This window comes from Homo sapiens, chromosome 11 (assembly GCF_000001405.40).
Source record: "Homo sapiens chromosome 11, GRCh38.p14 Primary Assembly".
In the NCBI taxonomy this organism is placed as follows: domain Eukaryota; kingdom Metazoa; phylum Chordata; class Mammalia; order Primates; family Hominidae; genus Homo; species Homo sapiens.
In genome coordinates, this window is record NC_000011.10 from 13,961,248 (window position 1) to 13,986,641 (window position 25,394).

General features: G+C 44.3%; 1 protein-coding gene and 1 long non-coding RNA gene across 2 annotated transcripts in view, besides 1 other annotated feature; both read left to right on the forward strand.

Moving 5' to 3' along the window:
- Window positions 1–1,475: 1,475 nt before the first annotated feature.
- Window positions 1,476–25,394, forward strand: part of SPON1 (spondin 1) — a 305,411-nt gene continuing 281,492 nt past the window's right edge. The window contains exons 1-2 of the mRNA NM_006108.4: window positions 1,476–1,895; window positions 21,600–21,706. Coding sequence (NP_006099.2) covers window positions 1,658–1,895; window positions 21,600–21,706 — 345 coding nt within the window. The 5' untranslated portion in view covers window positions 1,476–1,657. The remainder of the gene's footprint in view (window positions 1,896–21,599; window positions 21,707–25,394) is intronic.
- Window positions 1,910–6,622, forward strand: LOC124902637 (uncharacterized). Its single transcript, XR_007062602.1, has 2 exons — window positions 1,910–3,798; window positions 5,794–6,622. It is a non-coding gene; the product is annotated as an uncharacterized LOC124902637 (long non-coding RNA).
- Window positions 4,761–5,279: an enhancer, noted in NCBI's record as "NANOG hESC enhancer chr11:13987555-13988073 (GRCh37/hg19 assembly coordinates)". NCBI's record gives its function as "activates a minimal SCP1, AML or CMV promoter by ChIP-STARR-seq in primed H9 embryonic stem cells {active_cell/tissue: H9 hESC(primed)}" and the evidence as "EXISTENCE:reporter gene assay evidence [ECO:0000049][PMID:30033119]".

Genomic DNA, 25,394 nt, shown 5'->3' on the forward strand with positions numbered 1-25,394 from the left:
GTTACTTTCAGGTGACCTCTGAGAGAAGGCGTCCAGTTAATAGTGGCAGTGGGAATTCCAGCACAAGCACTAAGGAGTAAGTGGGCAGGCAGGGAGGAATGGAGATCTCCCATGCACCTAGCGCCCTGGGCCTGTTTGTAGCATTATGAAAGAGAAAACCCTGACCTGGAAAGCAAAGGAGATTGCTTGCTAATTGTAGGCACTTGAGGTGTGTCGAAGGCCCTGGGCAAAGAGAAGACGAGGAAACCAAAGCTTCTGAGGGCACCTGGGGAGGGATGTTTGTGTGCACTGAGAGGCAGGGGGCTTATGGTATCCCCAAGCGGGTGAGGGAGCAGGCGCCACTAGAGACCAACTAGAGTGTTTTATATGGGTCATATCATTTACTTCTAGCATATCACCCCACTACCTCTAAGAAGGATGTACTGGCACCCACCCCCACTTCCTTGTTCTCCAGAGCAGGAAACAAGCTTGGAGAGTGCGATAACTAGCCCAAGCTTCACAATGGGTGAGTGGCAGGACTGAGGTTTGATTCGGGTCTCTTCCCAGAGAGACACTGGGAGAGATTCTTGCCCCAGGTCTTTTCCCTTCAGGCCCTCAGGCTCAGCACCTCTCTGAACATCTGTCCCTGGGGAGTGAGAATCTGAACTAAAATGTAAGCCAAGAAAACACAGGCTCTTCATTGAATCTTTGGAAACTCCTTTCCTGGGCTGTAGGAGGACCTTCCTGAGCCTTAGGCACTTTTGCCTTTGCTGGCTCTTTCCTCCAAGTCAAGCATATTTTATGACTGTGGAGGTATAAATACAAATATATTAACATTATATAGTAAAACATTTTGTTTGACATAAATTTTTTCTTCTGATTTTTACAGAAAACATTTTCATAGATCTCCAAAAGTATCGTGGGCCCTAAGCGCTGTAGCTAAGTCGTTTCTCCTTTCTCAGCCTCCAGTCTGACATGTTCCACTATGGCCTTGGGAAGAGCAATGGGCCCGGAGTCGCCGCATCTAACCCTGCTGTAACTGGTCGCAAGTCACAGTTTGCTCATCTATAAAGTGAGCGAAAGTAATGTAATCTTTATTGGGAGTAGGGAACATGAAGGCGAGTCGATACAGTAAGTAAGCCGCCAAGCATATTGCTAGGCACAGAGCAGGTGTGCAACAAAAGTTATTTCTCAGGCTTTCCCTCCTCTGAGCGCCGTCCTCCAGAGGGTCCGGAGTGTAGCTGGGGGTTGGAGCAGCAGCCTCCTAGGCGATGGGACAGAGCCCACAGGGTCCGGTATGCCACGGTTTCTTCGTCAGACCCTGGGAATCCAACGTCGCAAAATAAACACGGCCGCGCCGCTAATCGCCAGTTCGGAGGAAACAAAACAGCGCTGCGCTGGGGGATCTGGGCAAAATCAGCCCTCCCTCCTCCCGCTCCTTCGCCGCGGCCCTCCCCTCCTCGCGCTGCTCTCGTTCGCTTGGCTCAGCTCAGCTCAGCTCAGCGCAGCTCCGCGGCCGCCAAGCCGAGGCGGGCACGGTCTCCGAGTCGCGGACGCCAGCTCCGAGCTCCCTCTCTCCGCCGCGCCTCCGCCAGGTCGCGCCTTCGTCGGGACCACTTCGGGCAGGAGTCGCGTGGCGAAGGCCTGCGGCCGCGGCACAAAGTTGGGGGCCGCGAAGATGAGGCTGTCCCCGGCGCCCCTGAAGCTGAGCCGGACTCCGGCACTGCTGGCCCTGGCGCTGCCCCTGGCCGCGGCGCTGGCCTTCTCCGACGAGACCCTGGACAAAGTGCCCAAGTCAGAGGGCTACTGCAGCCGTATCCTGCGCGCCCAGGGCACGCGGCGCGAGGGCTACACCGAGTTCAGCCTCCGCGTGGAGGGCGACCCCGACTTCTACAAGCCGGGAACCAGCTACCGCGGTAAGTGGCCGCCCGGCGTGGCATTAGGAGAGCGGGACCCGGTCCCCGGAGGGCGCCGACCTCGCGGTGCCGGAGGAGGGCGCGCGGTCTCCGGGCGCGTGGCGCGGGTGCAGCCCGGCAAGGGCCCTTCTGTCCTGGCTGCCCTCGGCCCTTGCAGTCGCGAGCTCGGCGCGGATCATAATCCAGCGTCCCGGGCCGTCGCGGGGGCCGCAGCCAGGAGAGGCACCCCGCGTTTCCGACGCGCGGTTCCCAGGCGGAGGATGTAACTGAGCCACACGTCACGCCGGCCTGACTGCAAGGGAGGCTCGCTTCTCCCCCGGCCGTCTGCAGGAGGGAAGTAAAACTGCCTTTCTCCAAATCGGTCTGGAGGGGACCCAGGCTTCTCTTGGTCGGGTCCCGGGCAAGGCAGCCACTCCAGCTTTCCCCGCTCAGTCCCTGAAGGAGAGGGTACCCGATTCTCAAAGACTGGCCCTGGGCGGGACAGCCACTCCGGCTTCCCTGGATAGGTCCCTTCAGGAGAAGGGACTTTGGCTTCTCCCTAACCGGTCCCGGGGTGCGGGAAGGAGGGGCAGGGACAGCCTAAAGCTCCTCGAAAGGGTCCTTGGAAAGAACCCCAAATTATTCTCTCGTGGTCCCAGACGAGATAGAGTATCTTGGGTTTCCAGAACAGGTTCCCAGTGGGGACAGGGTCCTCAAAGAGCTTGGGGTAAGCTCCGAGCTGCAAGGGGAATTGGATGAAGATGGAAAGAGAAGCCCCGATGCCCGAGGCCTGCTCCCTGGAGGCCGGGGAACCTTGGCTCCGGCAGCTCGGAGTCTCCACGTCCCAGGGATGTCGCGCCTACGCCGCTCGGCTGAGAGTGGGGTTTCGGGAGCTCAGGGAGGAGGTGTCCAAGCAGGTGAGAGCCTCCTAGGCGGGACAGGCAGTTCGACCAGCACCGATCTGAAGACGCCTGACTCTGTCCCCACGCCCGCCACCTCGCTCCTCAGCAGGGTCATCTCCCCAGACATCGTTTCCCCGTGCAGCAGCAGCCGCTCTCCGGGTGGGGGACAGGTAACCAGGAAGGGAAGCGAGCCTGTCTGGCCTCACCTTAGCTCCCGCCAGGGAGCGTGTCCTCTCACCCTCGCCCCTTCATAAGTCAGCTCTGGTGCTAAGCAGGGATGAGCGGGTCACTGGGGCACCTGGTGGGGCAAATGGGCTCCCAGCTGCTGTACTTTCCTCCTCGCCTTCCCAGTTCCCCAGAGAGCCTTGGACGGAAGCGGTGGGAGCAACACAGGAGAAAGTCTGGGGCAGCGTCAGCGGGCGCCAGGGTCACGCCGGAGACCAAAGCCAGGGGCCACCCTTCTTGGAGCGCTTTTCCCCCTTTCCCGGGTTTGTGTCCCCGACTTTCTCCACCCGGAGCTACCCAAAGCCGGCTCCTTGGTGCCCTTGGCACCTTGGCGTGCTGAGCACTTTGCGAGGAACAGTCTGACCCCGGCGCGCAGCTCCGCGGGATCCTGGGTACTCCACGAAGAAAGATTCTGGGCGGAGAACACCCCGCCCAGCCCGGGAGGGAGCGCGCGGCTTGGCACCGCGGCTAGAGCGAGCCGCGCCGACGGGCGGCGACTGCCACTCGGTGCAGCCGGGAGGCGGCCGATCCTCCCTGTGGACCGCAGGGAAGCGGGTATGACTTCAGTGGCCTATTCGGCCCTCCCCAAAACTGAGGACCTGAGTTCACAGGGGAAACTGTCCCCGCTCCACGTAGCAGAGAAAGAAGTGGCTCTGGAGTCCAACAGACTTGGGTTTACTCGCTGTGTGACCTTGTGCAAGTCATTTAATTTCTCTGCACCTATTTCCTAGCTGGAAAAAAAAAAAAGCTGTTTATCCACCCTCTCTTGGTGGTAGGGAGTAAATGAGTTTACAAAGGTGAGTGTGCCTGAGCTAAAAGAGATTCCTAATAAGCCTAACAGTTGAATGTGAGGCCTTTATTGGTTTACTAATGGAGGTAGGTTCTTGATCAGATTTTTGTTTTTGAAGAGTGTTGTGCGTTTGAAAGCAGGTTTCCTCAGCTCTCCTCCAGTCCCATTCATCTACCAGTGGTTATTTGGGTCCTCATGAATTAATTGAATGAATGAATGAGGTATTTTTTCATATCAGGAGCCTTGCCTAAGACTGTTGCTAATGCAAGCCCAGGAAGATTTTTTCAGTGACTTAGACTAGTCTGAGGTTCAGGCCAAGTGTACCCAGCGTCTCTTTTCACACTAATCCTCCGTGTTTTAGTTGAGCATTGGCAGCTGGTGGCCCTAGCACTGGGAAGGAGATACAGCTGGTATTCACGGGGCCAAAGAGGTTTCAGAACTACCTAAACGTCCAGGGCCAGCAGGTGGGGAACTGGGACTGGATAGGGAGTGTCCTGGACTTTCACCCTACAGGCTACTCCTGCCTAAACAGCCATCTGGACTTTGACACCCCAACTCAGGCTATAGATTGGGCAATCATCTTTTCTCCCTTCTTATGGCTAAAAGACCTTGGAAGAGATCTTGCAGGAACCATGCTGAGGTTTTCCAAGTAAATATCCTGCAATTAGCAAACCTGATTCTGCCACTCAAAGTCCGAAAGAAAAGGTACTGGCCTAGTTTGTGACATTTTCTGTTGGCTCCTTCTTTCTTAGAATAATTATGTTAAAAGTAACTCAAACACATTCTGCTCATTGTCCTGACTTAAGGCTGTGAAGCTGGCATTCCCCTGGTGTTCTATTTGCTTTTTAATTTTTTCATGAATTAGGATTCCTCACAATCCTTGGAATCAATGACTTGTTTTCCTGCCTCAAATCTTTGTCCACAGTATTCCAGTTCATCCCCAAGCAGCTTCTGTTCTTTGTGCCTGCTGTCTAAGTACAGTCTTTAGGTACTCTAGACCGGAATAAAATGGTCACTATTAAAAAAGACTGAAACATGGAGTTTCTTCCCCAAAACCTGAATCCAGTTGAGATCATTATTTTGTCTTTTCCAAGTTGTTAGTATTATATTGATTTCCTTTTCTTTCCCACCACTTCTCTCTACTCTCCCTCCCTCTTCCCACAGTCCCCCCTCCCTCCAACGGCAATAATTGTGCTTTAGAAAGCTCTGAAAGGCCTGCTCTGTTTCTGGCCAGGGCCTCCTTTGAAAAGGAGATTACAGTGATTAAAAATAACAAGTTGAGGATCCTCAAGGGGCTTCCCTTATACAGGAGGACAATTCGCAGGACCAGCCTTTCCCAGATCACAATTTCAAGCCAAACAGAAGAAAATCCACTGAAATATTCAAGAATTGATTGAAAATAAAAGAGGCTCTTTTGTCTTACTGGAGGTCTGTTTATTAGGAAAATAAAGTCAGACTCTGGCTAATGAGAGTGGCTTTTCCTAGATGTATTTTAAAGAGACATTTCAAGGAACTTGATGGGAAAAGAATGTCCAGTAGAGGTTTCAAAAGCTGGTCCAACTTCAAGCATAATTGAGGGGTTTATCCTAAACTGGGAGGTTTGGAGACCTCCAAAGCTGCATGGTTTTTCCTTTGTCCCACACTGAGACACACACTGACCACAGGGGTGGACACCTCAGCCTGGTGGAAAGCGCACAGGCTTTGATGTTGGGTGGGTTGGTTTCAGGTCCTCCTTGGTCACATATTCACTGTGTGATCTCAGGAAGCCACTTCACCTCTCTGAGCCAATTTCTCCATCTGTAAAATGAGGGTGTTTTGATTTTTTCCCAGCATTCCTGTGAGAATTAGAAATAATTCATGTCAAAAGAAATTGTCACACAGTGGTTGCTAAAAAAATATGTTATGAGATGATTATTTTGGAAATAGAAAAATACTTAGCAGCAAAGCCCTGGATAAGATATTGTGTTAAGTTCTTCCGACTCATCTCACTTATTCCTTACAGTACTTTGAGGAAGTTTCTGATCGTTACTGTTTTATGGATGAGAAGACTAAACCTCAGAGAAGTTTATTCCTTATCCATGGTCACACAGCTAATAATCAGCAGAATCAGGATACAGTCTCAGGTCTGTCTGACTCCTAAATCTGTGCTCTTAACCAGTCTTATGTGCTGACTCAATGAAATTAGTTGGGAATAGAATGAAATTCACTCAGCTACCCTCAGCCTTCTGGATGGTGAGCCTTCCTTCAAGGAAAACAGAACAACAAATCAAGATAGTAACTGACATCTCTCAGGAGAATTACTTTATATTACTACAAAGTAATATAAAGTGATAAATCCTTATTCACATTTGCTGTTTTCTCTTATTGGCTTCAGTGTTGCATTTCCCCATAAACTAGAGGATTAATTTAGAAACATGAAGAACCTTGTCAGCCTTTGGCCAATTCCTTTTGTTTGTGGGGAAACAAAAACAAATTGGATAGGAAAAAAAAAACCCAGAAAGAAAAAAAAAAAAAGAAAAAACAGATTTGACTGTTGTTTTGTTTTTACATACAGATGTTATATGACCATGCCTGTAAAATTATATGTTTGGAAAGGACATATTTAGGCTCTAAGAAATTTACACAAGATGAGGTCTTTTAAATAAACTATTTCCTGGATGGTGGAGTTTTTAAAAACTTAAGTGCTGCTGATGATATTATAATTAAGCCACCCCTCCTACCTCTCTTCCCTTTTTTGCACCATTCCCTGCTTTTTTGTTATGTAACTATTTCTAACCATTACTTAAGTATTTAGTTCAAACTGATAATAAAAATTAGAAAATGCAAACATAGCTAATGCTTAATGGTTGTGGAGATTGTTTATTGCTCTGAGTTTTAGGAAATGAAAGAAATAAAAACATACAAAAAAGCATATCAAAATGGAATTTTTCAAGGTTTAAAACTTGAGTACTCCCCCATACACAGATAAGCTGTTTCATTACAGCTGACTCTTTCAGTTGCATCAAGAAGCTATAATCACTGATACGTTTACCACTATGGGCTGGTATATCAGGAGCTTTTCACTCTCACACTGTCCATTTGCTTGTTATACAGACTGTCACATATATATAGGTCAATATCAATTTCTGTTGTGAGGTGGGGGGACTCTTACCATGTTATATTAGTCATAGTACAGGCTAAGCTCATGTTACTAACAGAATCCAAAACACAGTGTTTTAAACAAGAGGTAAATGGGAGATCCAGCATGATGGGAGGCTTTGCTCCATAAGGCCATCCAGGAACCAGGCTCCTTCTACCTTGTTCCCTGACATCTTCTTGCACTCTGCTGTGTAGTTGGTGGCTACTTAGCCGTGTGTAGCTATGAAGTACTTGAAATGTGGCTATTCTGAATGGAGATGTGCTGTAAGTATAAAATACACAATGACTGTTGAAAATTTAGTATACAAAGAGTAAACTCATTAATTGTGTATTATTACATATTAAAATTATAATTGTATAAAGTAAAATACACTAGTTAAAACTAATTTTGCCTATTTTCACTTATGTTAATGGATACCTGGTAACAAAATTAATTTCACCCAGCTTGAGCTTATTTCTACTAAACAGCACTGTTTTAAGTTGCTGTTCTCCTCAGCACCGTTACAGCCGAGGAGAACCTCTGCACACCTGTATTCAGTCAGCATGCAGTGGACTGGGGGGAGAGGAAGTAGAGGACTTCAGTTTTCTTTTAATAATGTGACCCAGAAACTGCACCCAGCACTTCTAAACACACTCCGTTGGCAAAAATTCAGTCATGTGGTCATACCTAGCTGCAAGGAAGGCTGGGAAATATAGCATTTAGCTGGGTAGCCACATGCCCAGCTAAAACTTGAAGAATTTATTTTTCAAAAAGATGAAACAAAGTAAATTTCTAAGGATCATATTAACGGTCTCTGTCACATATTTTCATGCATAGTCATGTAAAAACACAATATATCTTACTTTCTCAGTGAAAGGTCAGCTAGGTGGGTCAACTTGACAACATATAAACTGATGTTCCTGCTAAGAATCAGCAGAGGAAGCCAGATGCAGTGGCTCACACCTGTAACCTCAACACTTTGGGAGGCTGAGACAGGTGGATTGCTTAACCCCAGGAGTTCAAAATCAGCCTGGACAATATGGCAAAACCCATCTCTACAAAAAAAAAAAAAAAAAAAAATTAGCTGGCTGTGGTGTCTCATACCTGTAGACCCAGCTACTCAGGAGGCTGAGGCAGGAGGATCTCTTGAGCTGGAGAAGTTGAGGCTGCAGTGAGTGAAGATTGTGCCAGTGCACCCAGCCTGGGCGACAAAGTGAGACCCTGTCTCAAAAGAAGGGAAAAAGAGCAGAGGCAGGAGTGCTGGGGTGTGTATGTGCAAGCTTATGTTGTGGCTTGTTTTGTCTCATTCTCCTTTCTCAATAAAAGAGGAAGCAGCAAAGAATGAAAGGAATGAGGGTAAGGTAAATCAAGAAAACAAAGGGGTGGTGTGGGAAGAGAAAAAGAAAAATGAAAACCCACTGGGGTATACATTCAGAATGAAAATGAAAGAAAATATTTGAGTATGGCAGAGTCCCATTAGGATGGGACTACAGGGCTAGATACAAGAAGAGCCATGGAAAGCAAACATCACATAAGTCAAAATTAGTCCTTTGAAATTATACGTAAGATATAACCCAGATACCAGCTTCAACCTAGCCTTATCTAAACACCCTACCCCCAATATTCCTGTAAGTGAGGAATAGAAACGAATTGGCATGTATCAATAAGTCTAGCCCTTCTAGTTTCCCTCCAGCATTGGAAGAGAGCAATGTTTCCTCAGTTGAGTAGCAGATAAACCCTTGGTTTGCTCTGACATGCAAGTACAAAATCTTCATCATGTGATGGAGTAAGGGAGCTGAGAGGCTCATCTCATGCTCACTCAGGCACATGCATGCATTGAATGGAGTAGCAAGTGGCCCAAATCATTTAAAGCATTACATTCTCTGTTTTTTCTCCTCCAATAGTGTGCAGTTGTGTTTGATTTTTACCAAATGCACCTCTCTTGGAGCATCTATGGTGTCAGGAAGCTTGCTATATCACATAAAAAGCTTTTTGTGATGCTTGTCAGCTCCTGCTGGTATAAAATGCCCCACTTTTACAGAATGTTTTGGCAGGGATGGAGTTGGGGTGCAGATAGGACAGGGCAAGGAGTTAAGTGAGACCACTAGAAGTCCTTTGTGAGGTCTATGTAGAGCAGGCTTCTACCTTTCGCAGAATATTCATAAATTCCATGAAATGTTCAGGAAAACTTAAGGGACCTACCCACATCCACTGATTTTCTTGAGGCTAGGAGACCCATAGGAAATAACTTGAACCCTCTCTACAGTTGTGGTTGAGATATTTGCCAATATGTCTCATGGACTGGGTGAGAGAAACAGGGAAGAGTTCCAAGAACAAGTCACCATCTGTGGGGCAGGAGTGTGGGCAGGTGGGCACAGTCACAGCAGGATGAACCAAATGGTGATTCTAGGTGCTACAGGAAGCTCTTTTCTCCTCCTCTTCCTCCTCCTCCTCCTTGTCCTCCCCCCAACTCCTGCCAACACTATCCTTTGAATTTTCCAAATACACTAAGCTCATTCGCTCCCCAGGGCCTTCATCCTTGCTCTTCATGCCTGGGATGGTTGTCCTCAGATCTTTGCATGGCTGACTCCTTGTCTTTTAAGGGAATCTCTTTAAAGAGGCTGCTCTCACTACCAATTTATGTTTCCCGTCACTTTCGCCTGATTTTGTTTTCTTCATAGCCTTAAACACTCTCTGAAATTCTCTCGTTTATTGTCTGCCTCCTACAGCTAGAATACAAGCTTTATGAGAGCAAAGACTTTGTCTTTCTTATTTGCCATTTTATCTTCAATTCCCAGAACAGTGCCTGGGCATAGCAGGCATTAAATCATTATTTGTTGAAAAAAATAAAGTATCATTGAAGCCCCAAGAACCCTGGTGTGAGCTCTCTAAGAGAGCTGGATGGAGGAAGGGGAAGGTATTTCTCTCTCAGCCAGAGAGAAAGGTGAGCACCCAAGGGATGGCAGACAGGAGGCAAGGAGCTCCAGGTGGTGGCAGCAGAGAGAAAGGATGCCAGTGCCACAGGGGCGTTGGCCAGAGGCTGAGGGCAGATGGCCTGTGTCCAGAGTGCAGACCACTGGGAGGGAAGAGAGAGCAGTTGCATCATGGTGGAAGCTGAAACGCTGCTGCTGTGGCATGAAAAGCAGAGCAACAGCAGGCAAAAGGGCAGAGGCAAGGGGCTGCCAACCTCAGAAACTGGCTCTGAGAAACTGGCTCTGAGTATCTGGAGAAGTAGGCCTGAGGGGATTATTGAGCCATCAAACCTAGACATCAATTATTAAAGTGACATTCCCTAGAACCAGCACATTGTGGAGTCATTTGTAGTACTTTCCAAACCTAGCTATGCCTTTGGAGAGTGTAAAAACTAAACTAAAATTTAATTTAATAAAAAAACTTCCTGGGCCCCACCCTAACAAAAGGCTGGATTCCAGGAATCTTATATTCTTCTTTCTTTTTTCACTCTTTTAAAGGAAAATGATGAGACACAAAGAAAAGGTGGCCCTTTTCCTATGAGCATGCTTCCCCATCACCACCTCTCCTAGCCCCAGCCCCAGCCTCCCACACACTTTAGCACCTGGTCACATCATTGCCCTATCCTGTTACTATGGGACACACTCATTTAGTGACCAGTGGAATATCCTCAAAGCCAACATGACTGCAACATTTCCCGCTTGGCAGTAGGGTGATGGGGAGAAGAGAACCATGAGTTTTCCTTAGGTGGCCACAATCACAGACTGGCGAAGCTTGAGCCAGGGCTGACTTGCTTGTACTTCTCTGCCACCAAAGTCTGCCTACCATGTAACTTTCACACATCTGTCCAAGGTTCTGTCCTTTGGAATCAAGGAAAATAAGGTCTCCCCTGGGCCATATGTCAGCCCTTGAGATGTTTGTGAATAAATAGCTGTCATGGCTTCTCTTCTGACTAAAATGCCCCATTTCTTTAACCATTCTTTGTGGGTTGCAGTTGCTTGCTCCCTTGTACTTTGTGCCCCAGATGTGGTCTGTTAGGGGCAGGACATGATAGAATGATTATCTCCTTGTCCTGGACATTGTGGTTGTGTGAAGCTTGCCAGGTCTTGTGTTTGCTATTTTGGCAGCTGTGCCGTAGTCTGGAATCACACTGAGCTTGCAGCCAACTCAAATTCTTGCAATTTTCTGGAAGGCCTGCTTCCCTCTTTAACCTAGACTGGTGAAAATGGTCCTTGAACATAAAATTTGACATGGTTTATCGTTAGATTTAATCCAGCATGTTTGGATCCATCCCTGTAGCTGTCAGCCATTCATGAATCTGTATTTGGTCCCTGAGTGATTTATTCACATAATCTAATTTTGGATTATGCACAGTGTTGATAAGAAGGTCTTGTAAGTCTTTATCAATGAAGTTGATAAGAATATTGAGCAACTCAGAGTCTAGGATAGAGCCCTCTGACATTCCTTAGAGTCTTTCTCTAAAGCTGATATTTAGCTAAATAGTTTTGAAGTCAAGAGATCTGCTGTCATCCCAATGACATTTACATACCAACTGCCACCCCCAGCATAAGCCACCTCAGTTTAGTTCTGAATACTGTTTCCTGAGCCTGCTGGTGATTCTTGTAGTTTAGGCAGAGTGTTTTCTTTCTTTGCTTCAAAATTAGTCAGGACTCTTTCCACTGCAAGTGATAGGAACAAAGTCAACCTAACTAAAGCAGAAAAGGGAATGCACTGATTCCCATATTTGCAAAGCCCAGGGGTGGCTCTTGCTTCAGGCATAAATGGGTCTAGTGACTCAAATGGGGTCATTCCATCTCTCTCTCTCTCTCTGTCCCCCGTTCCCTCCTTCGCTCTATCTTTTTGTCCCTCGCTTCTACCTTCTCTGTCTTGCTCCTTCCATCCTCAATCTCTTGGCTGTGTTTTGCCCTCATTTTTTCTTACTACAGATAAACTTTCTCCAAATGACAGGGAGGATAGCTGCCAGCAACCTTCAGTGAAAATCCTCTTAGCTCATCCTGTGACTAAAAGAAAAGCCCCTTTCCTTCTAACTACAAACTGAAACATCCCAGGGAAGATTGTGATTAGTCCAGTATGGGTCACATGGCCAGGGCAATGGCATGGAGATAGACTGGATCTGGATCACAGTCACTTTTGTGACTTGATATTTGAGGAAGGAGGATGAACTGTGATTGGAAGCCCCAGTGACCACAGGGTCAGAGTAGGGGCAGCAGTGGGGGTCCCCCAGAGCTTCCTGCCCTCATCCACATTCCCAGCTACGTTCTCTTGGCTGACACATCTCTACCTCCCCAGAGGCATCCTTCCCATTATTCCTCCTGCTATCCACGTGTTGTTCAGCTCAGGACCCATTCATCTGGCTCTGAGCTGTTCCACGACGAGGTCACACAATGGGGAAAGGATTAACTTTTATTGAGCTGCTGCAATGTGCTTCATTGCATTATCTCCTTGAATCCTCATGACAAATCCACGAGATGATAATTATGATCCTTATTTCACAGAGGAGACTGATTTATTTTTAATATATTTTATTGATTTAGCAAATGTTTTTATATACTTCCTATTACCAATTCATTAATTGTCATGATGACAACAGGAGGTAAATACTATTAAATATTACTGCTGTTTTACAGGTAAGGACATGTAGACAAGGAGAGCTTGAGTAACTTGCCCAAAATTACACATAATAAACAGGGAAATTTGAACCAAGTCTGTTAACTACGTCTGTTATAGAAAAATGACCCTTACAAATTTAAGTATGCATGATCTTCAGTTTGAGTGGGAGAAACTTCATCTCTGCCTGGGGATGCTGAGAGCACTGGCTGAAGAAGGCCATCCAGGGGAACAGCATAATCCAACCCCACCATCCTCACCTGCTCACTTTTGGATTCTCAGTCTTGCCTTCCAGTCTTCCAGGCCATCACCAGCAAATCTTTTCTTGCCTGACCTGGCTAGGTGGCCTGAATTACTGTGCCAAATTTTTAAATAGAAATATATGAGTTGCAGCTCCTCAGAGCTCTGGAAGTTGTGCAGAATAGAAAGGGGAGCACTGTGACTAACTTAATGTCCCAACAGTCTTTATAACTCCATGTTATAAGTTAAAGCAGAAGCTGACGCGCATTGTGGTTGAGGTGTGTAGCAAGACTGGGGCATTTCAGTAACACATAGCAGGTGGATGGCAGGGGCTGGCCATAGGATGGAGCTGGGACTCAGGGTCTTCTCATTGAGGTTGGAGTTCTATTAATAATTCTGAAACCCAAGAGACAGAGTGCGGAGGAAGATGGAACTGGACAAGATCCAGTGAGGGTAATAGGCATAGAAGATGAATTTGGGTAATAGTTTATTAGAGTTTTTGTTAGAAGGTTGACACACCAACATTTGAAAGACCCAGAAAGCTATTTGGTAATTAGGTAGGGTAAGTGTACCCAAGGATGGAAAGAACTCTGCCCTGGGTCGGGATTTGAGGCCAGGCTCTAGTGTGAAATATCAGTCTTCATATAAATAAGGCAGGCCTTTGTTACTGATGTGGCTTTTAGGGCAAAGCTGTAATTCAATAATTACACAACCTCCAGCCTGATCTTCCTAAACCATAAATCTGAATATGAAATGTCCTAGCGCAAGCCCTTCAGTACTGCCTCATCCCCCCTCCCCAGGGTGATATCCACACTTCTTATCAAGGCATTGAAGGCCTTTGATCATCTTCCCCCTGCTTATCTTCCTCACCAAGCCTTTTATCACACCCTTCCTCCCAGAATGCAACTTATGAAATACAGAATCAGTTCTGGTTTCCAGGGCCAAGACTGGCCCATCACACATTTCTGCTACATGGGATGCTGTTGATTCCCTTGTCCACTGGATAAACTCCTATTCTTCATTCAACTTACAACACAGATACTACCTCCTCCTTGAAGCCTCTTCGAATTCACCCAGATAGACGCAGATGTTCTCTCCTCTGCAACCCCAGAACACATTGTTCATACCTCCATAACACACTTTACATGTTATAAAAAATATCTGTTGCTATATTTTTTCCCCCAGGTACTAGACTGTGTGCTCCTAGAGAGCAGACGCCATGTCTTTTTTACTCTGTGTCTCCAGGGATGTAGCACTGAGCTAGTGTAGACCAAATGCTCAGTAAAGATAAAAGGATGAGGGAGGTTGATGTATTGCTCAAGGTAACCCATGGGAACTTTGGAAAAGGGACCAGAATAGGAATGAGAAAACTATGCATTTAAGACAAATAAAACCTTTTTTGTTCATTCATTCAACAAGTATATATTGAGCATTTACTATGTGTAAAGTGGTATGCTAGATGCTAAAGATGCAGTGGAGTTCAAGACAATTTGTTTCTGCACTCATGGAGAGTACAGGTTATTAGGGGAGACAAGCATTTAACAAATAGTTTCATAAACACGTATGGAACTGAAATTGGGTGAGAGGTATTCCAGAAAAGGGGTATTGTGTGGAGGTGAAAGGGGCAGGGAGGTCCTCACAGGGCACTCTGAGTGTCATGGGCTGTAGGAAGCCTTGCTTTATTATAAGGACTTACCCAAATCTCTCCATAACCTGAACTTGTAAGAATCGTCCCCAAAGCCAATTCTCTCCATTGCAATCCTTCCAGTGGTCCTTCATTGGCACCTACTAGAGTTTTTCTTTGGAGGTTCAATCATTGTTCCTGAGGACCAGCTCTTTGAAACACATTGTTGGGTAATCAGCCTGATGAGCATTATGATCTTTTATCATAATCACAAATTTCATCATAATCTTCATCCCCAATATCACCATCACCACTCACCACCATCACCATCACCATCATAAATACTACCACCATCATTATCATCATCATCCCTTAAAATTCTTGAACAGTTTACATGTTCCAGGCACTGGGATAAATATTTATTTAACTCTACGTTCCTATAAGAAAGGCGATATCATCAACCTCTTTTTAAAAATAAGGAAATAGATTAAGTAATTTACCAGAGATCACATAAGTGGTAGCTCTGGGATTCTAATCCTAAATGTTTGCTGTTAATCAGTTCCCCGGATGTACTCACAAGATGGCTCTGAATGGAATTCCTTTTTTTTAATCCTTCATAAGCATTTTTCTTTAATTTCTTGGATCTCTTAATAGCCTCTCAGGGGAGGCAATTGGGAGGAGTCATTAGAGAGAAGATTCTATTATTTACTGCCAAGCAGTCATTTTAGGTTATTACTGGGACTCAGAACACACTGCACATTTGTACCTTTCAGAAGGAAGTTGTATAATGAGGTTCTCTGGAAAGATAGAGTCTCCTCTATTCCTTCAAATTATACTGTGTAACAACATCATCACCAGTGATAATTATGGATTAAAACCCCACACTGAGTTCAGCTTCCAGAGCCTTCATCTCATGTGTTATATTTAATAGGGTTGTGTACAACCTTAGCTTTCTAGAACCTACAGGAATGCAGTATTATGGGAAGCTGAGTTTATGATTAGCCCTTTAAGCACACTGAGCAGATGTACAAAAGTTGGGATATTTATCATTCAGAAACATTGTTTAGGAATCTTTTAATCAAAATATAACTTACATAAGGAAAAGTTTACAAATGATAGAGTGTGGTGAATTATCACATGTTGAATATACTCATGTAACCAGCACCCAGATCAAGAAACAGATCATGACTAGCTCTTCAGCAGCATCCCTTGTTCTGCCTCCATGTTGCACTCCCTCCCTTTCCTGTACATGTTACTACTGTCCTGACCTCTAGCACCATGAATTACTTTGCCTGTTTTTGAGCTTTATGTAAATATATATAAATGTAATCATACCATTTGTATTCTCTTGTGCCTGTCTTCTGTCACTTGAGATTACGTTTGTGAGATTTATCCATGTTGCATGTGGCAGTATGTGTTCATTTTCCTGCCTGTGAGGCATTTGGTTATATGAATATGCCACAATTTATATACCTATTCTAGGGCTGAAGGGCATTTGAGTATTTCCACTTGGATGCTACTACAAATAATGTTACTACTAATATTCTTATAGGTATCTTTGGTGCACATATATATGCATTTCTGTTGATTTAAGATGGTATTGCTGGGTGATAGGGTAAGAGTATGTTCAGCTTCAGTAAACACTGCCAAAGAATTTAGCAGCAAAATTGCTAATTTTCACTTCTATCAACAGTGTGTGAAAGTTCTAGTTAACATCACTGGATATTGTTAATTCTTTTAAATTTAGCCAAACTGTTAGATACGCAGTACTATTTCATTGTAGATTTAATTTTTATTTCCCTATTGACTACTGAGGTTGAGAGCCTTTGCATATGTTTATTGGCCATTGGGCACCTTCTTTTGTGAAGTATTAGTTTGTGCATTTGTCTTTCTTATTTTTCTTCTGTTGAGTTGTCTGTCTTTTTCTTATTGATCTGAAATAGTTCTTTATGTATTTTAGATAAAAGTCAGTTTCTGGTTATATGGTTGCAAATATCTTCTTTGACACTGTGACTTGCTTCTTCACTCTTAATGGTATCTTTTGATGAGCAAAAGTTTGATATCACCCCATTTATATATCTTCTCCTTTATTGTTAGTGCTTTTTTATGCTCTATGTAAGAAATCTTTGTTACTCCAAGGTCATTCGCATTTTATTTCATGCTGCCTTCTTAAAATTTTGTTTTGCTTTTCACATTTAGCTGTACAATCTATGTGGAATTTACTCTGTGTATGATGTGAGTTAAGGGCCAAGATTTACCTTTTTCTGCATGGTCATTCAGTTGTCCTAGCACCACTTACTGAAAAGATTATCTTTTCTCCATTGCTCTGATGTATTAGGTTGGTGTGAAAGTAATTGTGGTTTTTGCCATGGCAAAACCATTAATGGCCAAAACTGCAATTACTTTTGCACCAACCTAATACATCCTTTGTCATAAACCAAGCTTCTGTATATTTGTGGAACTTTCCTGGACCCTAAGCTGATCAACTGGCCCATTTTTCTTACCTTGCTATAGTCCACTGGCTTAGTTTCTGTAGCTGTGTAAGTCTTGATATCTGGGAGTATAAGCCCTTCAATTTTGCACTTCTTTCATTAAGATTGTCTTGGACAATCTTGGCCCTTTGCATTTCCATATAAATTTTAGAACCAGCTTGTCAATATCACAAAGAGCATACTGGGATTTTAATTTAGATTGATGAAACCTATAGATCAATTTGAGGATAATTGACATCTTTAGCAATACTGAGCCAACCAGTCTAGGAACACTCAAGTAAATTTAATAGCACGTCAACTCCGCACTGGTCACTGTGCTGAGCTTAGATGGGTTCTTACCCTTGAACGTCTTACAAATGTGTAAAGAAACACATAAACACAAAATATAATCTAATTCGATACTCTTATCACTGATAATAATGAGTTCATATTTACTAAGGACTTTACACATATTACTTCATTTATAGCTTGCACTGATACTTTGAGGTAAGTGCTGTTACTATGCCTATTATGTAGGTATTTTTAATTTCAGTAGGGTCCAAGAGAAAAGGCATGCAGGTCTTTATGGGGAAATCAGAGGAAACATCACACAAACGGTGGAGATTTGGCTGACTTTTGAAGTTTGCAGAATGGAGGAGCTTGACCATTCCAAGTTATATGAGTAGCTCATGAAAAAATACAACAGGGCGACATGACATGGATTTTCAGGAAACTTCTAGAGAGTGAATCCAAGGATTGAAATGTAGTATGGCAGGGGAATGGGAGCATGGTTAGTGAAGCTGGAGAGGCAGAGCCTGAGGGCTTCTTGGTCTGCGGAGTTTGAGCTTTGTCCTAAAGGCAGTGGCTGTGGAGCAGGGATTATCTGTCTTGGCTGGGGTTCCCCGGAGGCTGATTGTATTCATTTCCTAGGACTGCTGTACAAATTACTATAAATTGTTGGCTTGAAACAACATAAATTTATTCTCTCATATTTCTGGAGGCTAGACATCTGAAATCAAGGTATCCGACGGTGTTTTCTTCTGGAGGGCTCTGAGAGAAAGTTGGTTCCATGCCTCTCGCCTGGCTTCTGGTGGTTGTCAACAGGCCTTAGCTTTCTGCGGCTTGTAAATGCATGGCTCTAATATCTGCCTCTGTCATCTCGTGGCATTCTTCCCTGTGTGTCTCTGTGTCTTTTCTTATAGGGACATAAGTTGTATGGGATTTAGGGCCCACCTGAATCCAGCATTACCTCATCTTAACAAACTGCATCTGCAAAGACCCTATTTCCAAATGAGTTCACATTCCCAAGTATGGATTAGAACTTCAACATATCTTAAACCGTAACACAAGCCTCAGATGAGGATTCAGATGAAAGTGATTCTTTTAAGGAAATGCTCCCAGGGGAAACTAGTAAGAGAGTAGGGGAAGCAGGACAGCAACTGGGAAGGTGTCCTGCCAGCCTGTGATCCCAGGCATGGTCCCTTCAGGTAGTTTCAGTCAGATCCTGCGGGGCCATTTTGGAGTGTAAAGTGCCTCTAAGAATTGTCCTCACCTGATGCAAGGCAGCTGGACCTTTCATCTTAGGCAGAGTAGGCTCCAGTAACCTGAGGACCAGGGACACAAGAGCCACAGGGGCTGGCCACGGGAAGCAGAAATATATTAGTGCCAGGGTCACATTAAAATGTAAAAAGGTATTTGAAGAAATCTGGATGAAGTATCCTTAGTGTTTGTTACTTTGTCCTCTGTTCCCTTTCCTCCAGAATTGTGTATAATGGCCTTGAAGACCACCCACCCTCACCCTAGAGAGTCTAAGACTGCTTTTTGGCTGTCTGTCTGTCCTTCAGAGATTCCCAGCTCTGTCCCCTGACAGCATAACCACCATTTTTTTTGCTTGACACTGAACACTACACTTTTCTTACTCTTCTTTGCTTTATTGTGCTTTTTTTCCCCTCATTCCTTCTTTTTTTTTTTGACAGAGTCACGCTCTGTTGCCCAGGCTACAGTGCAGTGGTGCAATCTCGGCTCACTGCAACCTCTGCCTCCTGGGTTCCAGCAATTCTCCTGCCTCAGCCTCGTGAGTAGCTGGGATTACAGGCATGTGCCACCATGTCCGGCTAATTTTTTGTATTTTTAGTAGAGATGGGGTTTCACCATGTTGGCCAGGCTGGTCTTGAACCCTGGCCTCAAGTGATCCACCCACCTCGGCCTCCCAGAGTGCTGGGATTACAGGCATGAGCTGCCGCGCCTAGCCCCTTCTTTCTTTTTTTCTATCTGATCTTTTACAGACATCAGTAGCTCCTTTACTTTTGTGGGATAACCGGCCAATCACAGCATGTCATTTACCTTCTTTATGTCTTAGAGTTCTTTGCTGTGTCATTCTGTTGGTGGCTCAAGAGCAGCCACTACATTATCCAAGACAGTGGTTTTATTTGTTGGAGTTTTAGGGTACTTCTTTTTATTATTATTATTATATTTTAAGTTTTAGGGTACATGTGCACAACGTGCAGGTTTGTTACATGTGTATACATTAGGGCACTTCATTTTCAAGACTAAAACTAGTTTAAGGAATTTGGAAGACTAAATGCCCCTCTTTAACAGGAGGCTGCATATCATACTCACAAATATTATATGTCAAATGAATTGATTTTTTAAAGTTTAAAAACTTAATAATCAGTCAATATTTGTGGAAGATCTATAACATGATGAATATATTCGGTTTGTGAAGCCTTGGATATAGTGTTAAACTGGGGAGTGGGCCTTCAAATCTGACCCTAAGTTGCCCACTGGATGATTTTATGATCTTAGGTGTGTCTGTTGACCTTTCTATGTTTTACTTTCCTATCCGTGAAATTGGAGAGCTGAATTAGAAGATACTTGAGATCCCTTGAAGGTCTAATAGTCTGTAACTCCATATCTAATGTCCAGGATCTTAGCACTTTTATGCAGGCAGTAAAGTAATTTAAATCTCAATTTACATCAATTTAAAGAAACTTGAATTGAACATCTATTAGATGCCAGGCTCTGTGCTAGGTTCTGGGGATAAAAAGAGAATGAAAACCCAGCCCCTCTCCTGTATTAGCACAGCCCAGTGGAGAAGGCAAATCAACAAAGAATTGCAATTCAGTTCAAAAAAATACTGCAATAAAAGATTTCCATCTCAGGAGACTGGGGGTCCAATGGGATGGAGGACCATGATTGCCATGTTGAGAAGATCCTTGAGCTAGATTTTTTTTGTTGCTTTTGTTTTTGTTTTTTGAGATGGAGTCTCACTCTGTCACTCAGGCTGGAGTGCAATGGCACAATCGCGGCTTACTGCAAGCTCCACCTCCCGGGTTCACACCATTCTCCTGTCTCAGCCTCCCAAGTAGCTGGGACTACAGGTGCCTACCACCACGCCTGGCTAATTGTTTGTATTTTTAGTAGAGACGGGGTTTCACCGTGTTAGCCAGGATGGTCTCGAACTCTTGACCTTGTGATCCGCCCACCTCGGCCTCCTAAAGTGCTGGGATTACAGGCGTGAGCCACCGTGCCCGGCCGAGCTAGATTTTAACGGAAAAATCGTTTCCTGGGTAGATGTAGGAATGAAGAGTATAACAGACTTATAATTCCAGCTGCTGTAACAGGTGGCCCTCCACAACATAAGTTTATTTCCAGCTCATGCGAAGTACAGTATGGATGTTTCTGGTCAGTAGGTGATTTTCCGTGGGGTTGTTTAAAATCCCCAGTTTCCTTCCCTCTTGTGGTTCCACGGCCCTGCTCCTGGGACATCAGAGTCTTCTGCTGGACCCTGCATTAAGCAGGCAAAGGCAAGAGAGTGAGAGTGCAGGGTCATGTGGAAAGCTTGTACAGGTCAGGCTTGGAAGTAGAGTATAGCAGTACTCCCTTATCCGAGGTTTTGCTTTCTGTGGTTTCAGTTACCTGCAGTAAACTGTGGTCCAAAACTATCAATTGGAAAATTCCAAAAATAAACAATTCATAAGTTTTAAATTGCATGCTGTTTTGAGTATTGTTATGATTGTGTCTTATTAGTTATTGTTGATTTCCTACTGTGCCTAATTTATAAATTAAACTTTATCATATGTATGTATGTATGTATGTATGTATGTATGTAAAGGAAAACCATAGTAAGCATAGGGTTTGGTACTATCCATGATTTCAGGCATCCATTTGGGGTCTTGGCATGTGTCTTGGCCTTATCTGCAGGGGGCTACTGTATATCATGTCTGTCCATGACTTCCACTGGCAGAACTTGGTTATAAAGCTGACTTAACTGCAAAGGAGGCTGGGAAATGCAGTGTAGCTGTTTCCACAAGAAAAATGAAATATGTTTTGAAGAACACACAGCAGCCTCTGCCACAAAGGTCATCCTACAGGATTTTGTGCTGTGAAGGACTAGTTTTCTCTTGGGCCAGTCTAATGGAAGTGTAATGTTAGACAATTGTGAAGATTGAGTTTCTGACCAGGGACTATCTTTATCAAATTGTGGTTATTGGGAGAGAGCTCACCACACCCCTGGTTGGGTCAAGAATCCCCAAGTAAGATAGCAGCTCAGATATTTAACAGGTTCTGAAATGTAAGAGGGAGCTGGGTGAAGAGGGTAAGAGTTCTCACCTCAATGGATGAAGGCCTCAACACTGTCCACGGCCTCTGTAACTCACAGGTCTGGGATATCGATGGAGAACTCAGGTCTATCCCATTTGACAAATGGACAATAATTGATTCTTATACTTAAAACCTGCTTTTTTCTCTCTCTGCAGTAACACTTTCAGCTGCTCCTCCCTCCTACTTCAGAGGATTCACATTAATTGCCCTCAGAGAGAACAGAGAGGGTGATAAGGAAGAAGACCATGCTGGGACCTTCCAGGTAAGACCCTGCCTGGGCTTATTCAGTGGCCCTCCCTGCCCTAGGAGGTAGAGGCTGGAGAGGTACAAGTGTCTCAGGTGGCTTCCCATGCAGTCCCTTGACCGTTGGCCAACGGGGGCAGGTCCATTTGAAAGGGTCATCATGGAGCAAGCAGCAAATGCCGCACACCTATCTGAGCAAGGTTGGCCATGGGGCAGGCCTTGTTTTGTCTCAGCAGATCACGGGGCTCTTCTCTGGGCCCACAGTGTCCTTCAGCAGCCAAGCGTGGGGAGAGCACTTGGAGCCCTGGCTAGGCCTGGCTGTTTTGCCTGCACAGGCATTTCGTGATTGACTGGTTAATTCTCAAATGTAAACGGAACAAGAGCTCGGGACCGCCAGGCTGGAGGGAGTTCAAAGCACAGGAGAAGGACTATTAAGGGAATGTAGAGATTGATTTATGAGGGAAGATTAAAAGAATTAAACATGCTTTTCTTGGCCAAATGAACAGGGCCGAGTTTAAGAGGTGGTAATGGTCTTTAAATGTCAGTCCTCACAGAACAACCTCCTCAAGGGGAAGCTTCATTTGACTTTGCATGAAAGGGCACACTAAGACAAAAGTGGGTCAAGAAAAGAAAGGGAATCGCACAGACAAGGACCCCGACAGTGAGTCATATTTCACTGTGGAATATTCTTCCAAGGGAAGTGGTAGGAACGTCATCCCCTTTCAGAGGTTTAGAAAAGAGCCGGCAAGTTGTCAGAACACATCCCAGAAGGACTGGAGTGATCCTAGGAGGAGGCCTGGCCAAATTTGCTGTAATTACTTCTCATCTCAGATTTCCATTGTTCTGGAATTCATTTTTATCTGGCATTTGCAAATTAAGAAGAAAAAAACTCAGAGAATACTTATACCCATAGCTGGCTGCTGGAGACTCTGGTGCAATCTGTGGGCTCCGTGGAGGACCCTGACCCAAATACCTCCCTTATCCAAAGGCATCTTTTAATCCTTGTGGCCAGGTTGTAATTTTTAATCCTGTGATTTAAATTATTTTTCTGCTCTCTGGGATTCTAGGTTTTGGGCCTGGTGAGACTTAATTCCACGCTCACCGTAATGTCCTTCTATGGCAAAGAACCTCTTGGCATGTATCTGAAAGGGTGACCCAATAATAATACTAGCAACAGCCAATATTTGTTGGGTACATACCATATGCCAGACACTATGCTAAGTGCTTTACTTTATCTTAGTTTATCCTGTCTTTGTTTAGTTTATCTTTGTTTAATTCTCAAAACAACCCTAGTATGTAGGAACTATTATCCCCATTTTTGGACCAGGAAATTGAAACTAGAGAGATTAAATCACTTGCCTAAGCTTGCTTATTGCTTGTTTTAGTCCATTTTGTGTTTCTCTAACAAAACACCTGACACTAGATAATGTATAAACAATAGAAGTTTATTTCACTTACTTGACATGAGACTGGGAAGTCTCATATCAAGGTACCTGCATCTTATGAGGGCCTTCTTGCTGCATTATCCCATGGGGAAAGGCAGAAGGGTAAGAGAAGGTGAGAGCAAGAGGGGTCCAAACTCACCTTTATAACAAATCCACTCTCAAGATAACTAATCCACTCCCACGACAACCACAATCCATTCACAAAGGTAGAGCCATCACGACTTCATCACCTCTTATTAGGCCCTACCTCTCAACACTGTTGCATTGGGGATTAAGTTTCCAACACATAAACTTTGGGGGACACATTCAAACCATAGCAGCACTGTTCTGGCTAAATTCAGTAAGTTGATAGTCTTCTCTGACTCACAGTTGTTTCTGCTTAGCTTAATCCTTGTTCTTGCAACTGATTGGTGAATACAGGGCCCTGCTCATAGTGGGCAGCGCATAAATATTTGCTGAATGAGTGGATAAACATTTGACTCTTTCTGCTAGTGTCCAGACCTCAGTCCTATTTGGAACTGTTGTTGAACTCCTATCTCTGTATGCATCCTCCCTTCTTCCTCCTCTTAGAGCTTCAGACATCCTCTCTTGTTACACAGCAGTGGTTCTCAGAATGCAGTCTCAGGACCAGCAGCATCAGCAACACCTGGGAACTTGTTAGAAATGCAAAATCTCAAGCCCATCCAGACTTACTGAATCAGAAACTCTGAGGGCAGGGCCCTCACAACCTGTGTTTTAACAAGCCTTCAGGGTGAATCTGATGCATGCTCAGATTTGGGACCCATTATTCTAATGAGACATAGACCAGCCCTCTAACAGGATGTCGTCCATCATCACGTCAACACATCTGTCTGTTCCTATCTATTCTCTCATTGTTTCCACCAGCCCTAGAGGGATCAAAGTGGGATAAGAATATGAAAATGCCTAGCATATGATAACGACAATAGCTAACACTTAAACAGTGCTTGTGTGCCAGATACTGTTCTGAGTGGTTTATATTTGTTAACTGAGTTTATCTTCAGAGTGACATGATGAGGTAAGCATTATTATCCTATTTTCCACAGAAGAGAAACTTGTGGCAAAGAACAACTAAGTAACTTTCCTAAGATGCCCAGCTCTAAGTGATAAAGCTGGGGTTCAAACCCGGGCAGTCTGTCTCTGGGTACCTGCCTGTGACCACTGTGTATGCCATCTCTCAGTGTATACCTGTTAAATGAAAAAATAAGGGCCCACTATGACTTTTATGACAGTCTCTGTGCCAGGTGCTTTATATGCATTAGCCTTTTCTTTTTTCCCCTTAATTCTTGTAGCAACCTTGTGTGGTCAGTATTGTTATCTTCATTTTTCAGATGATGAAACTGAGTCCCCAAGGAGTTCACTAAGTTGACTAAGACAGTCCAGCATCTCAAGGGTCCAAACACTGTGCCAGTTTCTTATTTCTCAAAAGTTATCTCCTCACCCCTGCCCTGCCCTACCCTTGTGCCATCAAAATGCACACTCCGCTTGGGTTCCAATTGTCTCAGAGATTTGGGGGAAGGAATCATAGCCCATGCCCCTCATCTTACTTCACCTGCTCCTGTGATATGTGGCCCCCATGCTGTCCCTTCCAAATCTATCATGAAAGTATTTTTTCTCTGTACCAAAGCTGTTATCTTTGGAGTCCTTGATTTATTCAGCAGCATTTGTTGAGTGCCTGCTGGGTGCTAGGCACTGAGTTAGGCATTGGGGATAGGGTGGTGAGAAAAACAGAGATAGTCCTCATGAAGCCTAAGGAGTCCTCCTTGTCATCATCCCATAAACTGACCTCTGTTGCTGAAAGTCAACAAGTCACCCATTGAAACATAAGCCAACAATCAGAAAGAACAAATGCCATTGTAATTAAATATATATATATAGTGATTTAACAAATAGATAAAGACTTCTGTTTAACACCTTCACTTCAAATATGATGACTTTGAGGGCTTAACAACAACCACAAAATTCTAATACTCATTCATTGATACATAATATTTAACATATTTGTTGGATACGTATGATATTGTTATATATATAGAATGTGTAATGATCAAGTCAAATATTTCAGGTATCCCGTCACTTTGAATATTTATCATTTCTATGTGTTAGGAACAATTCAAATACTCTCTTCTTGCTACTTTGAAATACACAATACATTGTTGTTAACTATAGTCACTCTGAATATTCTTTTTTTTTTTTTTAAGTTCTGGGGTACGTGTGCAGTTTTGCTACATAGGTATACATGTG